Source organism: Homo sapiens, chromosome 10 (assembly GCF_000001405.40).
Source record: "Homo sapiens chromosome 10, GRCh38.p14 Primary Assembly".
Classification (NCBI taxonomy): Eukaryota; Metazoa; Chordata; class Mammalia; order Primates; family Hominidae; genus Homo; species Homo sapiens.
Window position 1 is genome coordinate 49,076,255 of NC_000010.11, and position 22,017 is coordinate 49,098,271.

The window sequence follows — 22,017 nt, forward strand, 5'->3', positions numbered from 1 at the left end:
TGTCAACATAAAAGCAGGACATTCGCTGGAGCCTGTGTTACAGGTTTTAGCATCTTTCTTTTGGTAACTTAGTCCTCACTATGAGCCTGAGACTGGTGCACTCCTGCCTCCTCCATGTCGCAGATGAGGAAAGCAGGCACAGAAGGAGGTTGTCAGCCTGTAAGTAAGGGAGCCACTGGAACCGGAGTCGGTCCATTTCCAGAGCTCGGCTCTTACCCTGGTCATCTCTGGGAGCCACAGTGTCCCCAAGCTGTTTTGGAGATTCTGAAGCAGGATGCAGGGAGAGGCTCTCAAAGGAGACCTCCAACAGGAGCTGCTGGGCAAGTGAAATCGGGGCTCGGGGAGAAGCAGAGACTCTCGAGAAATCAGGCAGTGTTCATAGAGATATGAGAGTCATGAGAACTACACTTTCCTGAGAGGAAGGCAGGAAGGGGCTGAAGGCAGAGTGCAGAGAAACAGGGACACCAAAGTGAAAGGAGACGGAAGGGAACTCTCAGACTGGTCAGGGAAAGAACTGGGGAGACTTCCCAAGTGCCACCTGCCTGCCAGTGAACGCTCATAAGAACATTCCACTGAGGGAAGAGGGTGTCAATCTCCTTTCATAAATGAGGAAACCCATGTTCAGAATGGCTCGGGAACTTGCCCAAAACCTCAGCCTCAAACTGCAGAGTCAAAATCCAACCCTAGGCTCATCTGATGCCACAGACTCTTCAGGGAGATTGACAGCAGGAAGGGGCCTCAGAAACCGAGAAAGGGGAAATTCAGTGATGTCAATGATGGCCACAGTGTATTTTAGCAGAGTCCAAGGGAAACACAGCTTGCTCACTTTGCCCACAGTCACAGGTAAATAATCCCTGACTCACAATGCACTTTTCCACCAAGGTGGTACTTTGTCTAGCATCTTCCGCCCGTCTGTGGTCGGGGTGTGCTCCCATCCCAGACATGACCTTATCTGTTTTCTTACCTCTGGATTTCCGCTTGTTAAACACAGACTGCCAGACGATGACCAGCATGAAGAGCAGAATGCTGAGGATCCCCACGCAGCACACGAGGACAGCATACACATAGAGATCTGAAAGGCAAGGACAGACACGTGAGTCAGCCTTCTGGGGGCCGCAGCAGAAGTGCGCTGGCAAGAGAACAATCAGAATTGGAATATTTGAAATCCCAGTGCTACAGTCAACAAGGCAGTGTGGTATTGGTGCAAGGACAGACACAGATCAATGAAACAGAACAGAGAGCCCAGAAATAGACCCACACAGGCATGCTCAGTTGATTTTTGACAAAAGTGCAAAAGTAATTCAACGGCGGAAGGACAGTTTCTTCAATCAATGGTGCTGGGTCAATGGGACTTCCACTGGCAGAAAATAAAACTAAAATAAACCTCACCTTTTATTCAAAAATTAACTCAAAATGAACCACAAACCTAAATGTAAAATGTAAGCTAGAAGACTTCAGAAAAAACCCACAAGAAAAATCTTTGGGATCTAAGAATAGACAGAGTTCTTAGACTTGACACAAGAGGCACCGTCTATATTAGTAAAACTTGACATACTATACTTGACTTTACCAAAATTAAAAACTGATGTTCTGTAAACAAACATATAAAGAGGATAAAAAGTCAAACAGACTGGGAGAAAATATTTGTAAACCACATATCCAACAAAGGACTACTATCCAGACTCTAAAGAACTCTAAAAACTCAACAGCAAAAACCACACAATCCTGTTGGAGAAATGAAAAAAAAAAAAATACAGACATTTCACTAAAGAGAATGTACAGGTGGCAAACAATCCCATGAGAAAATGTTTGACTTCTATCGCTGTTAGAGAAATGCAAAATGCAACTACAGTAAAATATCCCTCATGCCTTTCAGGGTGGCTAAAATAAAAAATAGTGACATCCCCAAATGCTGGCAAGGATACAGATAAACTGGGTCACTCAGACGTGGCTGGTGGGAATGTAAAGAGGCTCAGCCACTCTAGAATAGAGCTTTACAGTTTCTCAAAGGAGACACCTGTAACAACCATTCAGCCCAGAAATTGCATTCCTTGCATTTGTCCCAGAAAAATGACAGCTTAAGTTCACATGGAAAACTGTACATGTATGTTGGGTAGCCAAAAACTGGAAACAGACCGGATATCCTTCAGCAAGTGAATAGTTAAACAAAGTGTGGTACATCCACACCACAGCATCCTCAGAAATAAAAAGAACAAACTATCGACACACACACCAACCTGGATGAATCTCCAGAGAAGTACGCTGAGTGAAAAAAAAAAAAAAATCCCAAAAGGTTACATTCTTGATATGACATTCTTCATCAATGTAACATTCTTGATATGACAAAATTATAGAAATAGAGAACAGATGAGTGGTTGCCAGCAGTTAAGAAGGGGGTGGTGGTGAGAAGAAAATGGGTTTGGCTACAAGGGCCACTTATAATGACAGAAATATTCTGTATCTTGACTGTATGGATGTTAATATCCTGTTTGTGATATTGTTTTATGGTTTTGCAAAATGCTATCATTGGGAGACATTAGGTAAAGGAAACAAACTGGTACAAGGGATCTCTGTGTATGATTTTTTAGAAATTGATTTTTTCTTTCTTGCCCTGTGGCCCAGGCTGGAGCGCAGTGGCATAATCTTGGCTCACTGCAACCTTCTCCTCTCAGGTTCAAGCATTTCTCCAACCTCAGCCTCCTGAGTAGCTGGGGCTACAGGTCCACGCCGCCACACCCAGCTAATTTTTGTATTTTTGGTAGAGACAGGGTTTCACCATGTTGGCCAGGTTGGTCTTGAACTCCTGACTTCAGGTGATCCCCCCACCTCCACCTCCCAAAGTGCTGGGATTACAGGCATGAGCCACTGTGCCTGGCCAGAAATGGATATTAATCTACAATAATCTCAAAATAAAAAGTTGTCTAAGTTGAACAGTTAAACCATGTTCATGTACATACATCTCTTTTAGAGATAAGGTCTCACTCCGTCACCCAGGCTGGAGTGCAGTGATAAAATCACAGCTCACTGCAGCCTTGAACTCCTGGGCTCAGGAGACCTTTCCGCCTCAGCCTCCTGAGTAGCTAAAATTACAGGCATGAGACTCAGTGCCCAGCTACATATACTTACATTTCTTAAACTCTAATAATCAACGTTATCATTAGTCTGATCAATACAATGCCAAGCTGCTCAGAAAGTGAAAAGGGAAGCCAAAAGCATTATTCTAACCATCTTTGAAGAAAAATGCCACAGGCATTTATTTGAACTTAGCAAAAATGTTTCTCTGTTGACTTAACTTTCTACAACCAACAGACATTTACTATCAGCCATGGTCAGTACTTTCCTGAGTCCAAGAAAGATAAAAATGCACACACAAAGGCTTTCTCTTCAAGAAATAGAGGACCACTTAGTAAGTGTAACAATAAGAACGTGTGTCCAATACCAGGAACACTCAGAGACACCCAGCCCAGCCTGGGGAGGCTGAGAGAAGCTTCCAAGAGGGCTAGAGTTCTGCACCGAGTTGTATTTAAAATAACAAAAAATACAAAAATGTATAGAAAAAAAAGCCATCGGCCATCCTGTCACCCTGAGATAACTACTATTAATAAATATTTGGTATACTTTATGATGAATATGCATATATTTTTAAATTGAGATCATATACTTTCACATCTTTTTTCAATTTCTCTCATTTTCTCAATAAATTCTTTTCAAAAATGATTCAGAATCATTTTGAAAAATATGATAAAAGTTTATCATATTAATATATCAGCAATGATTTAACAATCTCTTACTATTGGCTACTCAAAGTGTTTCTACCTGTTCCCCATCATAAATAATTCTGTGGTGAGCATTCATGAACTTAAACCTTAGTACAACTTTCACAATATGTTCTCAAGATTAAGTTCCTAGAAGTGGAATAGCTGAGTCAACAGGAAAAGAACATTTGTAAAGCCCTTGTGGCGTGGAGAAGCAGTTAGTTAAGTGCTTAAGCTGAAAAAGCAAGCCTACTGGGAGTAGCAGGTGGCTGGCTCCCAGGGAGAGCCTGGAGAAGCAGGTCAGGCTTATGGTTAATGAGAAGAAAGGGGGCATGAAATGGAATCAGACATTCAGGTTCCTTTTGACTCTCCCCTCCCTGGCCTAGGCCCCAGGGAAGCCCAGCAGAACCTCTGCCCCTGGAGTCTATGAGATCTTCCTGTGTTCTTAAGGCAGTCAGCATTTTTGCCTAAGCTAGTTTGAATAGATTTCTGCTCTTGGCAATTTAGATGTCTGGACTGAAAATAAAATAAGTAGAAAGTGCCTTAGGGCAAGGTAGCAGGTGAAGGGTGCATCTGCACTAACATTTAAGGAGAGAGGGGCAGGTGTGTGGAAGGGAGTCTCCTACAAAGGATCAGAGCTAGTCATGGATGCAGAGGAGGGCTGGGGCGAGAGTTCTGGAAGCCCAGAAGAAAGCACTGTAAGAAGGATGCCTTAATAGCATCAACTGCTGGAAAACATCCACTCTGTTTTGCTCCTAGGAAGCTACTGGGAAAGTCTTGGAGGAAAGCCCTGTCAGTAGGCTGGTGGGGGCAGAGTCAGGTTAGAGAGGTCCAGAAGCTGATGGAATGTGAGGAGCTTGAGAAAGTTCTCACATAGCTAAAAATCAAAACTGCCTTTCTAGTAAATGCCTGTGTCTCTGATGTGTGGGCTCTGTAGATTAACAGGGTGGAGAACTCTGTGAGGGGTCAGAATTAGGAGAGAGGCTGCAGCATCCATTTAAACAGTGTGAAACTCAGCAACAGGACTCTTGGATTCTGGACAAGACACTTCATGACGAACTCAGGGACAGAGCAAAGTTCACAGACCAGGATTTGTGGCAGGATCCCAGGGCACAGGATGGCCACAACCCAGCAAACCCACGGCCAGTCCTGCCTTTCCACATTGGTCAGCAAACTACTCCAGAACAGGATGGCAGAGCCCTTGCTGGCAGGAGAAGATGGTGAACAACACAGTCAGGCTGCCAGGCCGACAGAACCTCAGGCAGGTGAACACAGCACCTGCCTGGAAGGGACTATGCAAATGTGGTCCCCAGACCAAAAGGCAGAGAAACTTGCCTTTAGTCTTATTCATGGAGTGGAGAGAAAAATTGTCTTACAAAAGCTTCCATGCCCATGGAGCACAGCAGCTGATCCACAAGCTCACCTCTTCATCTGAGCTCTTTCCTTCGCTTCAGAACAGCAGGAACCCAGGAGGGACAAGGTTGCAGGTAAGAACCGCAGTAGGCATCTCTCCCCAAGTGTCCCTAGCAGCATGCTGCAGACATTTGGGGCACACTCTGCCCAGGCAGGAGGTCAGGGGCTTCAAAAGGCCCAAGCTACAGTTTCAGTTCACAGCTTCCTCAACATGGCTCAAAGGGGGCTCCCCACAGGCAGCCAGGGCTACAGAATCAGAAAACATCTGGCGACTCTGGAAGGCTCAGCTGGCCGCCAAACACACAGGCCTCCAGTTATGGACACCAGCCAGCGGGCACCTCCTGCCTGCGTGTGGCTCCCCACACACACAAGACCGGTCATGGCCACTCTCTGTTTTGTTCTTGAAGCTACAGATCTGTAAAAAGTGCTGCCTTGCAGGAGAAGAAAAGCTCAGAAAGACCACCTGAGTTCCCCTTGATTGAGCAGCAACCAGTATGCCTATGTTCCGAATTTTTTTCCCTTCTGTTACAAGCATTCCTTTTGTTGCATAAAGATAACCACCCTGCTGTGTCCACTCAAAACATGAAAACCCCCCTCCCTGGCTGTTCTCTGCAAACAACAGTTAAACTCTGAGCCATTGAAGCCAGGGTCACAAATTCCTACGACTGCAGAGTCACCTTCCTGTCATGTCAGCTAATGCAAAGCCCTGCCGCACTCAGTTCCAGGGCACTGCTCTCAGGCTGGAATGCCCGCCCAGTGGTGCCAGATCTTCCAATTCATCCTTTACCTTTTTATGTAAAAATCTCTCTATAAAATGTTGGCTCAAAAGTTTTAAAACTCAGACTAGGCCAAATAATGCTGGTTGAAAGGTTGAAGCCAGACCTTTCAACAAAGGCTTGAGTTTAACAAAATATCTGCAATTAATCAAATCTGGAGTTCACTTTTAAAATACCACATATGGTCAGGCATGGTGGCTCATGCCTGTAATCCTAACACTGTGGGAGGCCGAGGCAGACCAATCACCTGAGGTCGGGAGTTCGAAACCAGCCTTGTCAACATGGTGAAACAAATTAGTACAAATTTTTGTACTAAAAATACAAAAATTAGCCAGGTGTGGTGGCACATGCCTGTAATCCCAGCTACTTGGGAGGCTGAGGCAGGAGAACTGCTTGAACCCAGGAGGCGGAGGTTGCAATGAGCCAAAATCATGCCATTGCACTCCATCCTGGACAACAAGAGCAAAACTCCATCAAAAACAAAAGGAAAAGAAAAAAAAACACATATAGCTGCACACCCACAATAATTCTAAAAATCATGTTACATTCCCTTTCTCTTAAATCATTTACAGTTTTGTCTTTTGCCATTGAACTTCCAAAGGCATCACTGCCATTTTTAGACTCAACTGCAAGCTGCCATGTAGAAAATGCCCAGGCCTCCCTGAAGCAGATGGCAGGGCTGGCAGGCTGGAGCAGCTGCCCATGCAGAGACAGGCCAAGACTGGGGTGCATAATGTCAGCATGCCAGCTCCCGCCCTCCCAAACAGCCCCACCAAGCCAGGGCCAGGCAGATGGCACCTGTTGCCCAGCAACCCTGATCCCAGCAGGGGTATATTCAGTGCTCCTTTGAAAAAGAGTGACCCCAGTGCCCCTCAGCAGAGTCCAGGAACCCCGCTCTCCCCTGCTTTCTGAATCAAGAAAGTAAGCTTCAGTCTTGTACATTTCCAGGGCAAATGGAAAAGTCAGGAGATAGCAGTTTGAGACATAAGGCTGTGTATTTCTATTTTTTAATCCAGCCTGTAATACCATCTTGCTCAGGGTGAAATACCTGAGTGATAGCCCCAAAGGATTTTAACTCACTCCAGCATCTCACAAAGAGGCCTGACAATCAATGCCTCTTTTGTGCAGTGGGCTCACAGCCAGGATGAACTAAGCCCCAGGAGGATGGATATCCATCCACAACCCCTACTGTAGCTCTCTCGTCCAGGAACAAAAGGGCAAAAGGCCTGGGATCATGCGCCAGGGAGTTTCAACTGTACCTCTAACCTCGCCAAAGCTACGGCTGGGTTAAAAAAGCAAAGCACGGAGACGCTGCTGCTGCCGAAATCATAGGAAAAGATTGGTCTGTAAACAGCTGCTCTGAGGCAGGCACTACACATAGCGAGAATGCCAGTTCTGCTTTTGGATGAGGCCTGATTCTCTCTGTTGAGAAGAGAGCACATACTGGGCTACAGATTTCATGTAGAGAGTTAGGTCGGGAGTAACCCTGACATTCTATAGCTGCACATGAATTATGAGATACTGTTAATTGCACAAAGGGTTTCAGAAATGCTGATTATGCTGTGGGGTATGTTGGGTCTAAATGCCACAATCTTTCCAAATATATGGTCTTGTTTTTGCACCATGGCATTTTCAAAGTATGGTCCTCAGACCACTTGCATAGGAATCACCTGTGGCCCTGAAAGTTCTCTGATCCCTTCCTAATGTTATAACCAGAACCTCAGGGGCTGGAGCCTGAAGTCTCCCTGGAAGATTCTGATGCATCTGATGATACATAAGGCTCCAGCTGTCACATCCCTAGTGATCTACCCTTGCCACAGCCAGGCCCTCTCCATATCCCAACCCATCACAGTGCCTGGTCACAGGGCAGCTCCAGAGACATGGGGCAAACATCAATGGGGTTGCCTCAATTTTACTAAATAGTAATGAGAAAGGTAAACCTTGCCCTTACTACTGCTTCACTCTATGAGAAGTAAAGTCATTTTCATTTCTTTGCCAATGCCAATGAGTAGGCATTCTCTTAATGAGAGGCTGAGTGGGAGAAATGGGGATTATTTTACTAGGAGGCAGTCATCAAATAAAGAAAAAGGCAACTACAAAAATGCAGAGAAACATCAGGAAATACAAAGAATCACTGTTGGATTCTCATGAGTGCAATCTCATAAACAAAATATTTATGACTACAAAACAAAACAATTAATCCTAGAGGCCTATGTGGGTGACACCTTATGGTCTGCAAACGATGTTCACAATAAAAGTTACATTTTCCTAAGACAGAATGTGTTTCAGTCTACTGCTTTATAACTAGGCATTGGAAGGGGTGAGCTTGAAAGCAAGTACTTGCTCCCTAAGGATGGCCCTCCTTCTGCCAGATCATACAATGGGTTAACAAAGGGTGACAGTAAGGCCTCAAGACATGTGCCTCTCCTTAGAGACTTTTGGCTAGATCATTCCTCATCAATAAATGTTGTACCATCACCAGACATAATCTTTACAAAGTTCCTGACCACCTTTGAACATTAATCAGCCTTTCACTGATCCAAAGCTCTGCCAGAGAACTCACAAAGTGCATTCTTTAATTGCTTATGATCATAATCCTCACCCACTTTATGATAATAATTTCTCCGAACTTTCCTTACTCCAAGACAGGGTTTTCCAACCTCAGCACTCTGGATACTTGGAGCCAAAATTCTTTGTCATGGGGACTATCCTGTGTATTGTAGGATTGGCATCATCCTTGGCCCCTGCCACTAGATGCCAGGAGTACCCCCAAAAGCTGTGACAACCAAAGATACATGCAGACATTGGCAACTGTACCCTGGAGTAGCAAAAGTCACCCACTGTTGAGAACCCCTGCCCTAAGGCCCAAACCTGAATGTGCATCAGAATTGCCTGGATGTCTTGTTAAACCCCGGATTTCTTGGGCACCATCCCTAGAATTTCTGATTCTATAAGCTAGGGCAGGGCACAGCCATGTGCATTTGGAACAAGCTCCCAGGTGATGCATATGCTGCCGGTCTGCAATCACACTTTGGGAACCACTGTTCCAAGGCCATGGTTCTCAGCCTGGCTGCATGCTGCAATCATCTGGGGAGCTTTTAACAACTTCCAATTAAATCAGAATCTCTAGAGATGTGGTCCAGGCATTCATGTTCTTAACATTCCATGAGTGATTCTAGCATGGGTTGAAAATTACTTGGTTAAGGATTGCAAACTGTTTCTAGAACCCCAAACTCCTTAAGCAACCTGAAATAAAATGTAGTCACAGTAGAGGTACTTATCATTTTTATATCACTTGAAGATTCGTCCCTAATATCACCTGGGAGTAGGAATTCTGGAGCAAAACAAAACAAACAAAAATTATGTGGACTGGTGCTTTAACTTCCACTCTTTCAAAACTGTGGGCTGATACTGTCAGGGATTTCCATCTCACTTTGAGTAAGTTTAGACCAAGAAAACAACTTAAAAACTAAGAAGTTAGGGTCCTTTCTTTATATTCTGTTTCCTTCCTATTGTCTAAAAGTGAGGCTGCATCTTATCGTGGGGTGGGGGAAAGGGGGAGGGATGGCATTAGGAGATATACCTAATGTAAATGACGAGTTAATGGGTGCAGCACACCAATGTGGCACATGCATATATATGTAACAAACCTGCACGTTGTGCACATGTACCCTAGAACTTAAAGTATAATTTAAAAAAAAAGAAAAAGAAAAAGCAACTATAGAGCAATAAAAAAAAGAAATATACAAGCTTTACCTTCAAAAAATGCCCAAGTCTCTTTTGTTTTCTCAAAGGATGACTCTTCAGAAGCTTTGAGGGAAATGACTGAAAGACAAAAAAGAAACAGCACAGTATGAAAAAATAATGCCACATGGTACACATGGCACTTACATTTACAAAGCAATTTCTACATTTGCAAAACCACATTTAGTTGTCAAAACTCACATGTTAGGGAGGGGTGCAAGGACTTTACCTAACAGTTGGGAAACAAGGGGCACAGGAGAGGTTGAAGTTAAGTCATCCATGTTTAAAAGCCAGTAAATGGCAAGCTCAGGATGCAGTTCAGTAAAAGCCCCACTTGCCCCATAGACTTGAAAAATAAGAAGTTCCCAGTGGCAAACCCAATAATTAATACATGATTTATTTTACCATTTTAGTGGGAATCTTTCTAAAATGTAGTGTACTTGTCCCAGTATTCCTGGATAGAGGAACCTGAAGTCATCAGATGACTCAAGGTTAGTGCTCTGAGCACCATTCTCCATGCAAGACAGACCCACAGAGCCACAGGCATCTAATTGTGAGAACATTTTGTCTTCTTTCAGGTAATGGTAGATCACTGAATTCATTTTGCCTGCTTTCAACAGGCAGGGAAACAGAATTGAGTTACACTGTGTGAAACTTTGAACATCACATTAAAGGAGTCTGGGCCCACGGAAAGTTTCCATGTACAGGGGTAACATCATCATAGGTAAAGATCTAGAAAACAGACTGATGAAAAATGTAAAATATCACGGAATGAGATTATTGTTCAATAGAACCTTCTGAAGTTATTGAAATGTTCTATATCTGCACTGTCCAATACAGCAGCCACTGGACACATGTGGCTACTGAATACTTTAAATGCAGCCAGTCTTACCAAATAACTGAATTTTTACTTTTATTTAAGTTTAATTAATTTACCCAGCTACATGTGCTCAGGGGTTACCACAACGAAGAGCTCTAGACAAGAGAATCTAGGACCAGAATTGAATGGAGATAGAATCAACAAAAGAGACAAGAAATACGGCAAAGATGGCCTAGAACTTAAATTCGATTTACTGCCTCTCCCACAAACTTTTGTATTATTATTGTCATGATCTCAATTCTGAATTTTCCTTCCTTTTGTCTCTCTGGGCCTTGCACTGGATATTTCCTATTGACATATCTTCCAAATCATTAATTTTCTCTTCATCTGTGTTTAACCTTCTGTACAACCCTTCTATTAAGTTCTTAATTGCATTTATTCTTTTTATTCAGTTCTATATTATTTGTTTAATTCTTTTGTAGATATCTCAGTTCTCTAATGAATTTCTCTAGGTTGTCATCTAATTCTGCGACCATATCAATCATATTATTTTAATGTCTATGCCTGATAAACTTTCATATTTGCACTTCCCATAGACTCCTTTCTGTTATCTGTTTTTGCTTTAGATCTTGTCTGTTGGAATGCCTGATAACTTTTTTCTAATTGAATGCCAGACATTGTATATAGAAAATCTTGGTGACTCTAGATAAAATTTTGGTTCCCTGATAGGAAGTTAGAGTAGGGGGATGGTCACTTTAATCCAATCAGGGTTTGAACTGTTGAGAGGCTTTCAGTTTTTATAGAATCCGCTCTATTTCTGGTTTGCCCTTACTCAGGGTTCATTCGGTCCTTCAGGGTTCCCCAGCAAAAATCCTGGGGTATTTACCACAACCTCCCAATTTTTATCTCACTGTTAGAACTGCCAAAAACTAACTCACCTCCTAAACATACTGGTTGTCACTTTCTCCATAGCTTCTCTCAACTAGCACTGCTTAAGTATGAGTGAGTTTCTTAGAGTTAAACGTCTCCAGCAATTGGGCTCACTTTGCTGCTTTTCTCTGTGATCTAACTACCTATCTAGTCCTTCAGATAACAATTAAGATAGTTGGATATATATGCACATATATATAATTATATATGTTATATATGTATATATATACATATGTAATATATATGTATATATACATATGTAATATATATGTGTATATATACATATGTAATATATATGTGTATATACACATGTAATATATGTATATATACATATATATGTAATTATATAATACAAATATATTTATGAAATGTAGATATGTGAATCAGAAAGCAGAAGTGCTGATAGACTTTATTTTCAGTTTTCCTAATTGTTCTCAGGAGGAGGGCTTTGCTCTGCTGAGAGGTTGCCTTGATCACAGAACTCCTTTGCCATTAGAACTTAAATTATTTAAAAAGTAGTGGCTATATCTTCTACCTCTGTATTCCTATCACTGGGCACATTGCCTGGCAGCTGATAGGTGCTTGGTAAAATATATGAATTATATATTTCTTTCTGACTTCCTCCCAAAGGAAGCAACCTGGACCTCCAGGAAGGAGCTCTTAGTGAATATCTGACCTTGCATGTGATCTAAGATACATCAGACAATTTGTCCATCACACCCAACCTCCTTGACCTGCTCAATACCCATAGCCCCTGTAATCTACTGACTGCCAGATTCCCCCTTCAAACACTTAAAATAAGAAACAGAGTGCATGTGGTTATTGTGAGCCCTGAGATTGAAAGAGCCAGTGGATTTTGTGGGTGGCCATGTTGGAAAACAAGTGAGCAGAATGGAGCGGAGCCTAGAACCTGCATAGCAGAGGGAAGATGAGAGGCCAAAGCTTGATGGCACTCTGGGCCCCACAAGGCCTGGCATGTTGTATTTACTCTCTTTGCATTCCAAGAGCTTTGCACCCTTAGACTGTGCCCACTTCTCTCCTGAAAAAGCTTGGCTGGATTTCCATGGCTTCAGCTAATCAAGCCTAGATAAGGATAAGAAGGTCCTGATGAAGACAACACGGAGATGAACAATACACATATATCTTCAAGGAGCTTGGTTTCCAGGAGGCCAAGGATACCCATCATGGTGTGGACCCTTACCACCCCACATGTGGTCCACGGGCCAGCAATGTCAGTGTCACCCGGGAGCTCCTCAGAAATGCAGAATGGCAGGCCCCATGCCGGATCTACTGAATCAGAATCTGCTTTCAAGCCCAAATCCCCTGGGTGAAATGTATGCCTTTTAAAATTTGGCAAACACATGCTCACAGGGTTGAAAGACTCAATTGCCACTTGCTAGTTTTATGTCCTTGGATAAGTCACTTAATTTTCCTGTGCCTTATTTTACCCATTTGTAAAATGGGGATGATGAGAAATGCCCATGTCAGAGTAGATGCAGGGGTTAAAGGGGTTCATGTGTGTGAAGTGCTCAGAACAGTGCCTGAGACCTACTGAGCCCATATCCACACTAGCTGTCTAAGTACAGGGACTTTCACTTGTTTTATTCACTGCTCTAACCTCCACCCCCGCCAACCTCAGAATGGCCCTTTGTTGTCAGTCCTTTGCCTCAGGGGGTGACTCTTCAATCTCTACACCTTGAATGAGCTGCTGCCATTCTAACCAACAGGTGCCTTCGGGTCATTTTTTATGCAACTTTCAGGGTCAGAAATTGTGGGTCCTTGATTTAATCCAATTACAGTTCCCTTTCCCTTATTTAGGATAGAAAGCAACAAGCTCTCCCTAATCTATTTATGGACACATGTGTTGAAAGAGCTAACAAACTGGGATTCTAAACTAACCCTATGCAAGGAATCACTGGATGCTCCTCACTCCCCCGCAGTGCAGATATTTCACAGGACGGTGCAGCAACTTTGGCATCTGATTATTAGAAACACCAGTCCTAATCTTACTTGTTCCTACAAGAAAGAAAAATTTTTACATGGACCCTGCCAGATCTTCGGGAATTTTCCCAAGGTTCTCCCATAAGTATCTTGTTGCAGCTGCTAATCCTGTGCTATCTCAAAGTGAATTTGATATATTGTCAAGCCAGGGGTCTGAGTCCACAGACTATGAGGAAACAGAGCTGTGGGATGCAGCCAGGCCAACAGCAAGGGCTGTGTAGTGGACAATCAGCAGGTCTCCTGACTCCACAAATACTCTGCCCTCCTCAGCACAGCTGTGAGCAGCTAATATAAATTCACCTTGGTCAACCTTCAAGTGTGGAGTGGAAGAGGCCCCAGCAGGGTAGATGGGCTTGAAGAGGATGGAATGCTTTGAGAAAAAATTTGGCAAGACTAAGGAACAAGTGGCAAATGTTCCAACCACAGATTACTAATGTTGCTCAAAGACTTGTGGAAATAAAATGCAAATCTCCTGATGGAAGAGCATTTTTGTAACAGTTTCCAATGAGTTCAGCAATCAGAAGGCTGGAGCCTTAAGCAAGAGTCAATCAATCTATCCCATTCTGCCGTACTGGGCTCACCTTGGGATCCAGCTGGACTTCCAGACAATTGGAAAGAAGATGACAACAGCCTCTTGTACCAATTTGCTGACTCTTCCTATGCACCAGCTCAAAGGAATGGAGGTCCTGCCCTCCTGACAGCTGCTCATGATTAAAGGAGTGCCCAGCCCAATCCCCCAAAGAGGAAAGCAAGTGCATGACAGTCAGCTGGTGAGCCAGACAATGGTCCTATAGGGTCCTGATGGTGGACTCTGCTGCTCTGTGCTCAGGTTTTCATGATAGGGAGGAGAAATGAGACTTCCATCCCTTCCCAGGAAGGTGCAGGACTGGAATGATGCTGCCCCTCTCTGCCCTCTCATCTGCATTCACCACCTCCCTCACCCCTGGTGGACAAGGAAAAGCTCCTGATCCAGGTGAGCTTCTGACCACAGCCCCCCTCTGGGTGATAGGAATGTGGTAAAGAACTTTTTCCAAGTAGACTCTGTCCTGCCCTGTGCTCTGAGACTGGTCTCCCAGCAAATAGCTGGCATGGGGGCAAATGCTGTGGGGCCCCTTGGGACAGTCTCATCACCCCAGCTGCTGGGAGTGACACCAGCCCTGCCTCTCACGGAGCCCCACCTGTGACCACTCCTGCACACACTCCTCTACCATCCGTCCTGTGTCCAGGGAGACCATGACAAGGGCAGTGCAAGGACCCTGACCTCCTGCTCCCACAGTGCACAGGCATGTAGTCCCCATGCTGGGGTGGGGGGTGGGGAAAGGCGAACAGGCAGGACAACTGTTCAGGGAAGTAGAAGGAAGCCCAATTTGATCTCAGTGCCAAGCCACCTATCTCAGTACAGCTGTTATCGGAACTAAAGTGGGTTTTTATATCTGATGGGTCAGGTCTCACAGTGGAGGGAGGGGTGATGAGTGCTCAGAAGCTAAATTGTCAGCTGACCTACTGACTGCTTTGTCATTGCCTTGGGACCCTAGCACCCAATGGGCAGAGCCCATGAGAGTTTCCGGGGAGGCAGTGGCCCAGATGACAGAGCTACAGGCCACTCTGGGGCCTCCCCAGGAGCACAGAATAGGATGAAATCTAATAAGGGACAAGTTGTGAAATCCATCACGTCACTGCCCCTCTGTTGAAGAAAGTGGCCACAGGATCAAACAGTCAGGAAGAATGCAGCCCAGAGGTACTGAGACAAACCGATTCTATCAACTGCATGTCTAGAGGAAGCAGGCTGGAAAGAAAGAGCCTCAGTCAAGTCCCCTTTGATGGGACCTGGGGGGAAACCATCACTCAGAGAGGTGTGAAAACCGAGAGCCCTAATTCCTGCCTTGGAAAGAACACCCTGCCAACTTCCCTGGGGAGGGCATGTTTCACAGGTGAGTTCACACCAAGACCCTGTGACAATGCCCTCTGGGTGCCAAGGGGCCTCTGGTTCTTTCGGGGTCCCCCATTCACCAAGGACGCTGACATGCTTTGTCTAGACTGACCTTACTCACCCACGGAAGTGATGGCCAAAAATTCCGAGAGGTCCTGGGAAGGCTCCATTTTTCCTGAAATTCTCTCCCACTGGCGCCCCTAATTCCTTTAACAAAGAATCTTACAATTAACAAAGCTTAAATTGCAACTCTAGGCTATATCCAAAGTCAGGTGCACATTTCTGACACGGAAAGCCTTCCAGAACGCAGGATTCGATGGAGAGGAAAGTGGTGGGGCCCTGGCGGGCCAAGAGGAAGAACGAGGCAGGAGGGAGCAGGAGCCAGGATGCAGGGAAGGCAGGCAGCTGGGCTCAGGAGACATGCCTTCCCTTTCCGTGCCTACCCTGGCCAGGGTAGCTGAAGCCTTCTCCCAGACTCTACAGATCTTGTCCTTAGCAGGTGCTGCCTTCCTTAGTGCTCTAAAGCCATATTTTTAAACTTTACTGTGCAGAAGAATCAACTGGGCTCTTATTAAAACGAAGACTCCCAGGCATTGCCCCTGAGTTTCTGAGAGGGTTTGGGACTCTGCCTGAAGAGGGAGTTCACCTCTCAGGAAATTCTGAGGCTCCAGGCCCGAGGACCCTACTTGGAGAGTCTCTGTCATGTGCACTCCTAGAAGAAAGACTGAGTACAAGGAGATGTGGGAGAGGAGAGTCCTGCTGTGAGAAACCAGGCCCTGGGCCTCAGTGTCCTGTCCAATCCAGGAGAGGGTTTAGAACTCAAAACTAAACCAATGCCTCTTCTATTTAATCTAGGGAAAACAAGAGTAATAAGGATAAGGAGTGATCCTGCCACAGAAGTGTTATCTACAAAGTGATACGGGAGTGCTGGGAAGAGAAGAGTATGGTCCCTTTGAACAATATGGAAAGGGGAAGGGGCGTGCTGGGTAGAGGAGGGCGTGGTCCCTGGCTAGGGCTCCACCTCCACGGACCTAGGTGAGGACAGGCATTTCCTGCCCAAATATTGCATTTCCCAAGACCACTCTGGCCTGCCACGCCCCCATCCTGGGCCTATAAAAAGTTGAGAACCTAGCAAGGCAGAGACAGACGCAGTCAGACATCGAGAGGAGCACGTCACCGGAAGAAGACGCAAGCGGCTTGGTAGTCCAGAGAACATGGAGCAGATTATGCCAGCAGAAGAGCACACAGACAGGCACTGGTATGTAGGCAGGACATCGACCAGTGGGACCAGGCACCAGGCAGAGTTTGGCCGAGGCAGTCAGAAGAGAGCTGGGGCCACAGAGCAGCCCAACTCCAGGGGAAAACCGTCTCCCTTCTACCTCCCCCATTGACTGGGAGCTACTTGTACTCAATAAAACTTGGAGAATAAGATATTCTCCAAGCGCACATGTGATCTGATTCTTCCAGTACACCAAGGCACGAACCCGGGATACAGAAAGCCCTCTGTCCTTGAGACTAGGTGGAGGGTCTTAATTGAGCTACAGGCAGCCTATAGTCGGCAAAATAAGAGAGCACCCCATAACACATGCCCACTGGGGCTTCAGGAGTTATAAACATTCACCCCTGGACACTGCCGTGGGGTCGGAGCCCCACAGCTCCTGCCCATCTGTATGCTTCCCTAAAGGTTTGAGCAGCAGGGCACCAAAGAAGCCAGCCACACCCCTATCGCATGCACTGGTAGGGGGACAAGGGAACTTTTCCCGTTTCAAAAGGACCCTGAAAGAGCACCTTTTAATAGCATGTCTCAATGTAGAAAATGATGTGCAGAACACAGCTTTCAAGAAACAATGATTTTTAAAAGAGCAGAACATGTGTAAGGATGGACGTGTCTTCCCAAGGAGTCAACTGCCTGTCTTGGAAACTGGAGACAATTTGAATTGAAGCCTTCCTCCAGTGGTGATCTAATGTTTCACACCCTTCCTCTCTCTATGGAATGTGTGGCTTTAAAATCCATCACTGTGCACCAGACCATGCCTTATTCTACCTTGTTCATTATCTGTGTCTGTTTTCTTCACTTTCTAGAATCCTTCTTGGCCCATAGTTCAAGTCATAGTTACTCTTTTTTTTTTTTTTTTTTTTTTTGAGATGGAGTCTTGCTTCGTCGCCCAGGCTGGAGTGCAGTGGCAAGATCTAGGTTCGCTGCAAGCTCCTCTTCCCGGGTTCACGCCGTCCTCCTGCCTCAGCCTCCCAAGTAGCTGGGACCACAGGTGCCTGCCATAACGCCCAGCTAATTTTTTGTATTTTTAGTAGAGATGGGGTTTCACCATGTTAGCCAGGATAGTCTTGATCTCCTGACCTCGCGATCCACCCACCTCGGCCTCCCAAAGTGCTGGGATTACAGGCGTTAGCCACGGTGCCCGGCCGTCATAGTTACTCTTAATGAATGAATGAAATGAACGTGATACAGTGGGGTAAGTACACCTTACCAGGACTATGACATTGTTACTTTCCGGAAAGCTAGGAGAGGGGCCAGGGTCAGGGGGTCCCACCCTGCCCAGCAACAGTCCTTCCCCTGGAGCCTCAGAAGCAGTGGGGTTGCGCCAGCACACCTGGCTGCAGAGGCTAACTTCTCCACAAAATTCTGGCCTTGGAGTTGCAGGCTTTGTGTCTGTCATGATTTATTTTATGGCCTCTGGGAGTTTAGTTTCCTACAGAATGGAAGCAGAAAGTCCAAAGATGATTCCTAACCAGAAGGTGATTCTTCTTAAACAGAAGATGATTCTTAAGTTCCCTCAAGCTGAAAGGAAGCGGAAGAAGTTAAGGAGCCTGATCCCTGGCAAGTAGGCCTTGCTAATTTGCACCAGGAGAGAGCAAGTACCACCCTGCTCCAGGTCCCTCAGGCAGCATCTTACACAGGTTTTAATAGGAGAGGAAAATGTAAAGGGGCTGGAAGAGGATGGTGATGTGAAGTATGCAGAAGAAAAGATCCTTAAGTAAAACAAAGATGAGCCAACACCTTTGTCCCAAATTCAAATTCAATGTATTCAGTTCACTCTCCCTTCTTATTCAACAATGGATGAGATGGTTCCCAAGGAAACAGCTCTTAAAATGTAGCTGTGTCCTTGCTGTTTATAACTGGATCAACATTCTCAGTGGCAGGGGGTGGGGGGCGTGCCACTGCAGCCCCAGGGAGACACAGAGACCTTCTCTGTTTCTGCTCTCAGGCACTGGCCTATTGCTTCCTTTCTCCCTTGCCTCTCCAAGACTTAGGTCAAAGGCAGTCTCCCCTGGGGCTCAAATAAAGCCATATATGTCAGTAGGACCTCTGAGTGACCTGCAGGCAGCAGCCGATGAGAAACAATGAAACTCCAGCTTTGTCTAGCTTATGCCGCCCTTTCCTACCGCATTCAGTCCAAGACAAATTCCAGCAAACCAAGCAAAAGGGCAAACAAAAAAAATGAAATAGACTTCCCATGGCAAGGCGGTCGGAAAAGAAGTCCACATTCTGAAAGTGAAGGAGCTACAGAGCACAAAGGCTATCTTTATGTCCCCAATGAGAAGCTAGGAAATACTGAAACCTAGGGCTTGGTCACTGGTCCTTTACACACACAAGTCCAGGATAGGGCTATATATCCACTTGCTACTACCTTCCACTCCTAGTTGCCATTTTCTCTGCCATGTCTCCAGAGAAAAAGAGCTTGGATCACTCATTCACTCCTCCATCTAAAAAGTCATCATTGGGCCCCTTCTGTGTACATGCACCACATAACATGTGAGGGTGCATTTCGGAAGGCCCCGGCAGGGTCCTTGGTACCAAGGTCCCCAGCTGGGTCCATCTTTCCAACCATTCCTCTTGTTGCTGCCCACCCCTGTCCCCCAACAATTGCAAACATGCATCTAAGTCCATTGAGTTACTTTTGCATGCCTCTCTGGCCTCTTGCAACACTTTTGAGCAGGCTGTCGTCTCTACTGAAACAGCACAGCCCAGGGCTGTCTGCTGAAGCTCTCCTGTGCCCCAAGCGAAGTCCCACATCCTCCATGTGACCTTCTCCCATGGTCCAGCAATGTGTCCTCATCTCCCTTACTCCCATGTCAGCCTCACCCCCTCGTCTGGCCCTTTCACACTCTTTCTGTTTGCTACCTCCATAACGTCTATTAAATCTATAACCACATCTACACCATGGCTTCTCCCCTATGTTATGAGGCTGGGGCCCCAGGAGGGCAGGCATCAAACATCTCCATCTGTACCTCTCTTTGGGAAAGGCACAGTGATGACAGGCTCATAAACTGGGGCTTCATGCATGTTTGTGAGATTAAGTTTTTAATCTAAACTCTTCCAAGACCATGGCAGTTGGAATGAGGGTAGGTACGATGAAGAATTGTTTAAAGTGGTGTTTAAATTACACTCTGGTTGTCAATTTGATTCCTTTGAGTGTCTGGACCTGTTGACACTTTAAACACCATGATGTGTGTTTGCTTAATTAAGCAGAAGCCCTAAATGTTTAGTAAATCTCATTCCTCATTATCTGTTCCATGTCTCCCGAGAAAAAGGAATTATTTCGTTAATTTCTTCCACTAAAACTTGCAGTATCAGTTCCCTGTGGTAGTAACTTCAGATCTAATCATTAAATTTCCTCTCACACTTTGGGGTTAAACAGTCAGATGAGAAACCATATTATAATTTCATCTTTGCCCCCACATACTTTTAGGGTGACAAACAGTTTTTTCCATTTGCTTTGTCCAGTCTCCACATTAAACCTTACTTACATAATGTTAAGTCAAATAACAATTTGGCTTGTTAAAATACACTATGTGGGTTTAGAGTGAATTACGATTAAACTGCAGGAGACATCCCTTGCAAATTGCTTCTATTATTAGCATTTTCACTGCTGATAAAGACCACTCCATCTAAAAGCAGGAAGATTTATTTTGGCTCAGAAGGTTAGACTGCTTCTGAATCTGTGGGTTGTAGGATTGGGTTGAAAAGCCATTGAAGACCGTGTGTGTGTGTGTGTGTGTGTGTGTGTGTGTGTGTGTGTGTGTGTTTTGAGACGGAGTTTTGCTCTTGTTGCCCAGGCTGGAGTACAATGACACGATCTCGGCTCACTGCAACTTCTGCCTCCCAGGTCCAAGTGATTCTCCTGCCTCAGCCTGCCGAGTAGCTGGGATTACAGTCTCCCGCCACCATGCCCGGCTAATTTTTATATTTTTAGTAGACACGGGGTTTCACCATGTTAGCCAGGCTGGTCTTGAACTCCTGACCTCGTGATCCACCCACCTCAACCTCCCAAAGTTCTAGGATTACAGGCATGAGCCACCGTGCCCAGACAAAGATCATGTTTTTTGAAGTCTTGGGGATCAAAGCTGTGGCCTCCCTAAGAGCAGGAGCCTCTTAGGGAGGCTAATGACTACATCACTCCTGTGAACACCAGCAGCACACGCTCCCTGGGGTGAAGGCCCAGGAAGTGCACTCAGGCTATGGCCCTGCAAACCTGTCTCAACGCTTTCCACGGGAACCTTAGGACACGTGGCACTCAGGGCTACAGCTGGGGCCCATCTTTCACCAGGAGCCCCTTGGACACTTATGCTTCATCTTGGAATCTCTCCAGGCAGCACCTGAAGAAGCAAGCAAGCTTAAGGGTTCGCCCTGCCCCATGCCCACCGGGGGCCTCCTCCTGCTGAGCAAGTCTACAGAATCTGTGCTTCCAGAGGCACCAAGCCAGATCCGTCCCCTAGGGAGAAAAGTCTAGAGGTGATGGGATGTCAAGCACAATGGAGGAGGCACAAAGGTGGAGAGATTCCCAAAGCTGAGGGAGCAAAGGAAGGTAAAAAAAAAGGACAGAACACAAACCACAATGTCTTAGACTTGGGGACAAAGGGTCAAGGGTGCGTAGAGGGGCAATCAGGCCCTAGACATGAGAGAAACAGGAAGACAGCAACTGAAGTTATCAAGGGCAGGTCTGAGGCTCAGCACATGGCCCAGCAGCACTGAGCATGCAGGACAGACATGGGTGGACACAGTCTGTGCAACACAGGGCAAAGCAAAGTGCTTTTCTTCAGGAAGTATCATTATTTGAAAAGATATTTACCATAACTAGCTATATATTATTTTTCACTTACATGAGACATTTTGGCCCCCTAAAATATGAAATTGTCATCTCATTTCAAAGGTGACCTTGGAGTTTACCCTGAAGAGGACAAGAACAAGTTGTCTGCATCTCAATACTTACCTAAAATTGTGACTCAACTACTTCAGCAAAACTATTAACTGCTCTTTGTTTGTTTGCGTGTGTTCTTGTTTTTGTTTTTTTCTCTGGCCTAAGGGCATCAAGAACCAAGAGTATTTGGGAATCCCAACACTAGGCTATGATGCCTGCCAGGTATGAAACAAGTTCCAATTCAGTATGCCCTGGACACTCTCAATGTAAATAAGCCACCCCTTGGAGAGAGGGAGACATGGCTGAGCAGTGCACCTCCCTGTTGAAATCATCCCAACCCCCCTGCTTATGCTCCCTCAATTCTCATCCCGTTTTCCTTGTGCCACCCCCTTCAGCCTTGCTATGCCCCCACAGTGCTGGGCACACAGCCCTCAGGCCTCAGCCTTCCTCACCAGCCTTGGGGCTGGGCAGGGCATTATTGTGCACTCCA

The 22,017-nt window shown here is 45.5% G+C and overlaps 1 protein-coding gene across 4 annotated transcripts in view; it reads right to left on the minus strand.

The window, feature by feature from the left end:
* Positions 1 to 22,017, minus strand: part of VSTM4 (V-set and transmembrane domain containing 4) — a 101,287-nt gene that overhangs the window by 62,019 nt on the left and 17,251 nt on the right. For all 4 annotated transcript variants that reach the window (XR_001747052.3, NM_001031746.5, XM_047424711.1 and 1 more), the window contains exons 3-4: positions 9,701 to 9,769; positions 965 to 1,072 (exon numbers count right to left, since the gene is read on the minus strand). Coding sequence is in view for 3 of the 4 variants with exons in the window: in NM_001031746.5 (NP_001026916.2) it covers positions 965 to 1,072; positions 9,701 to 9,769 (177 nt within the window). In the remaining variant the exon portion in view is untranslated. The remainder of the gene's footprint in view (positions 1 to 964; positions 1,073 to 9,700; positions 9,770 to 22,017) is intronic.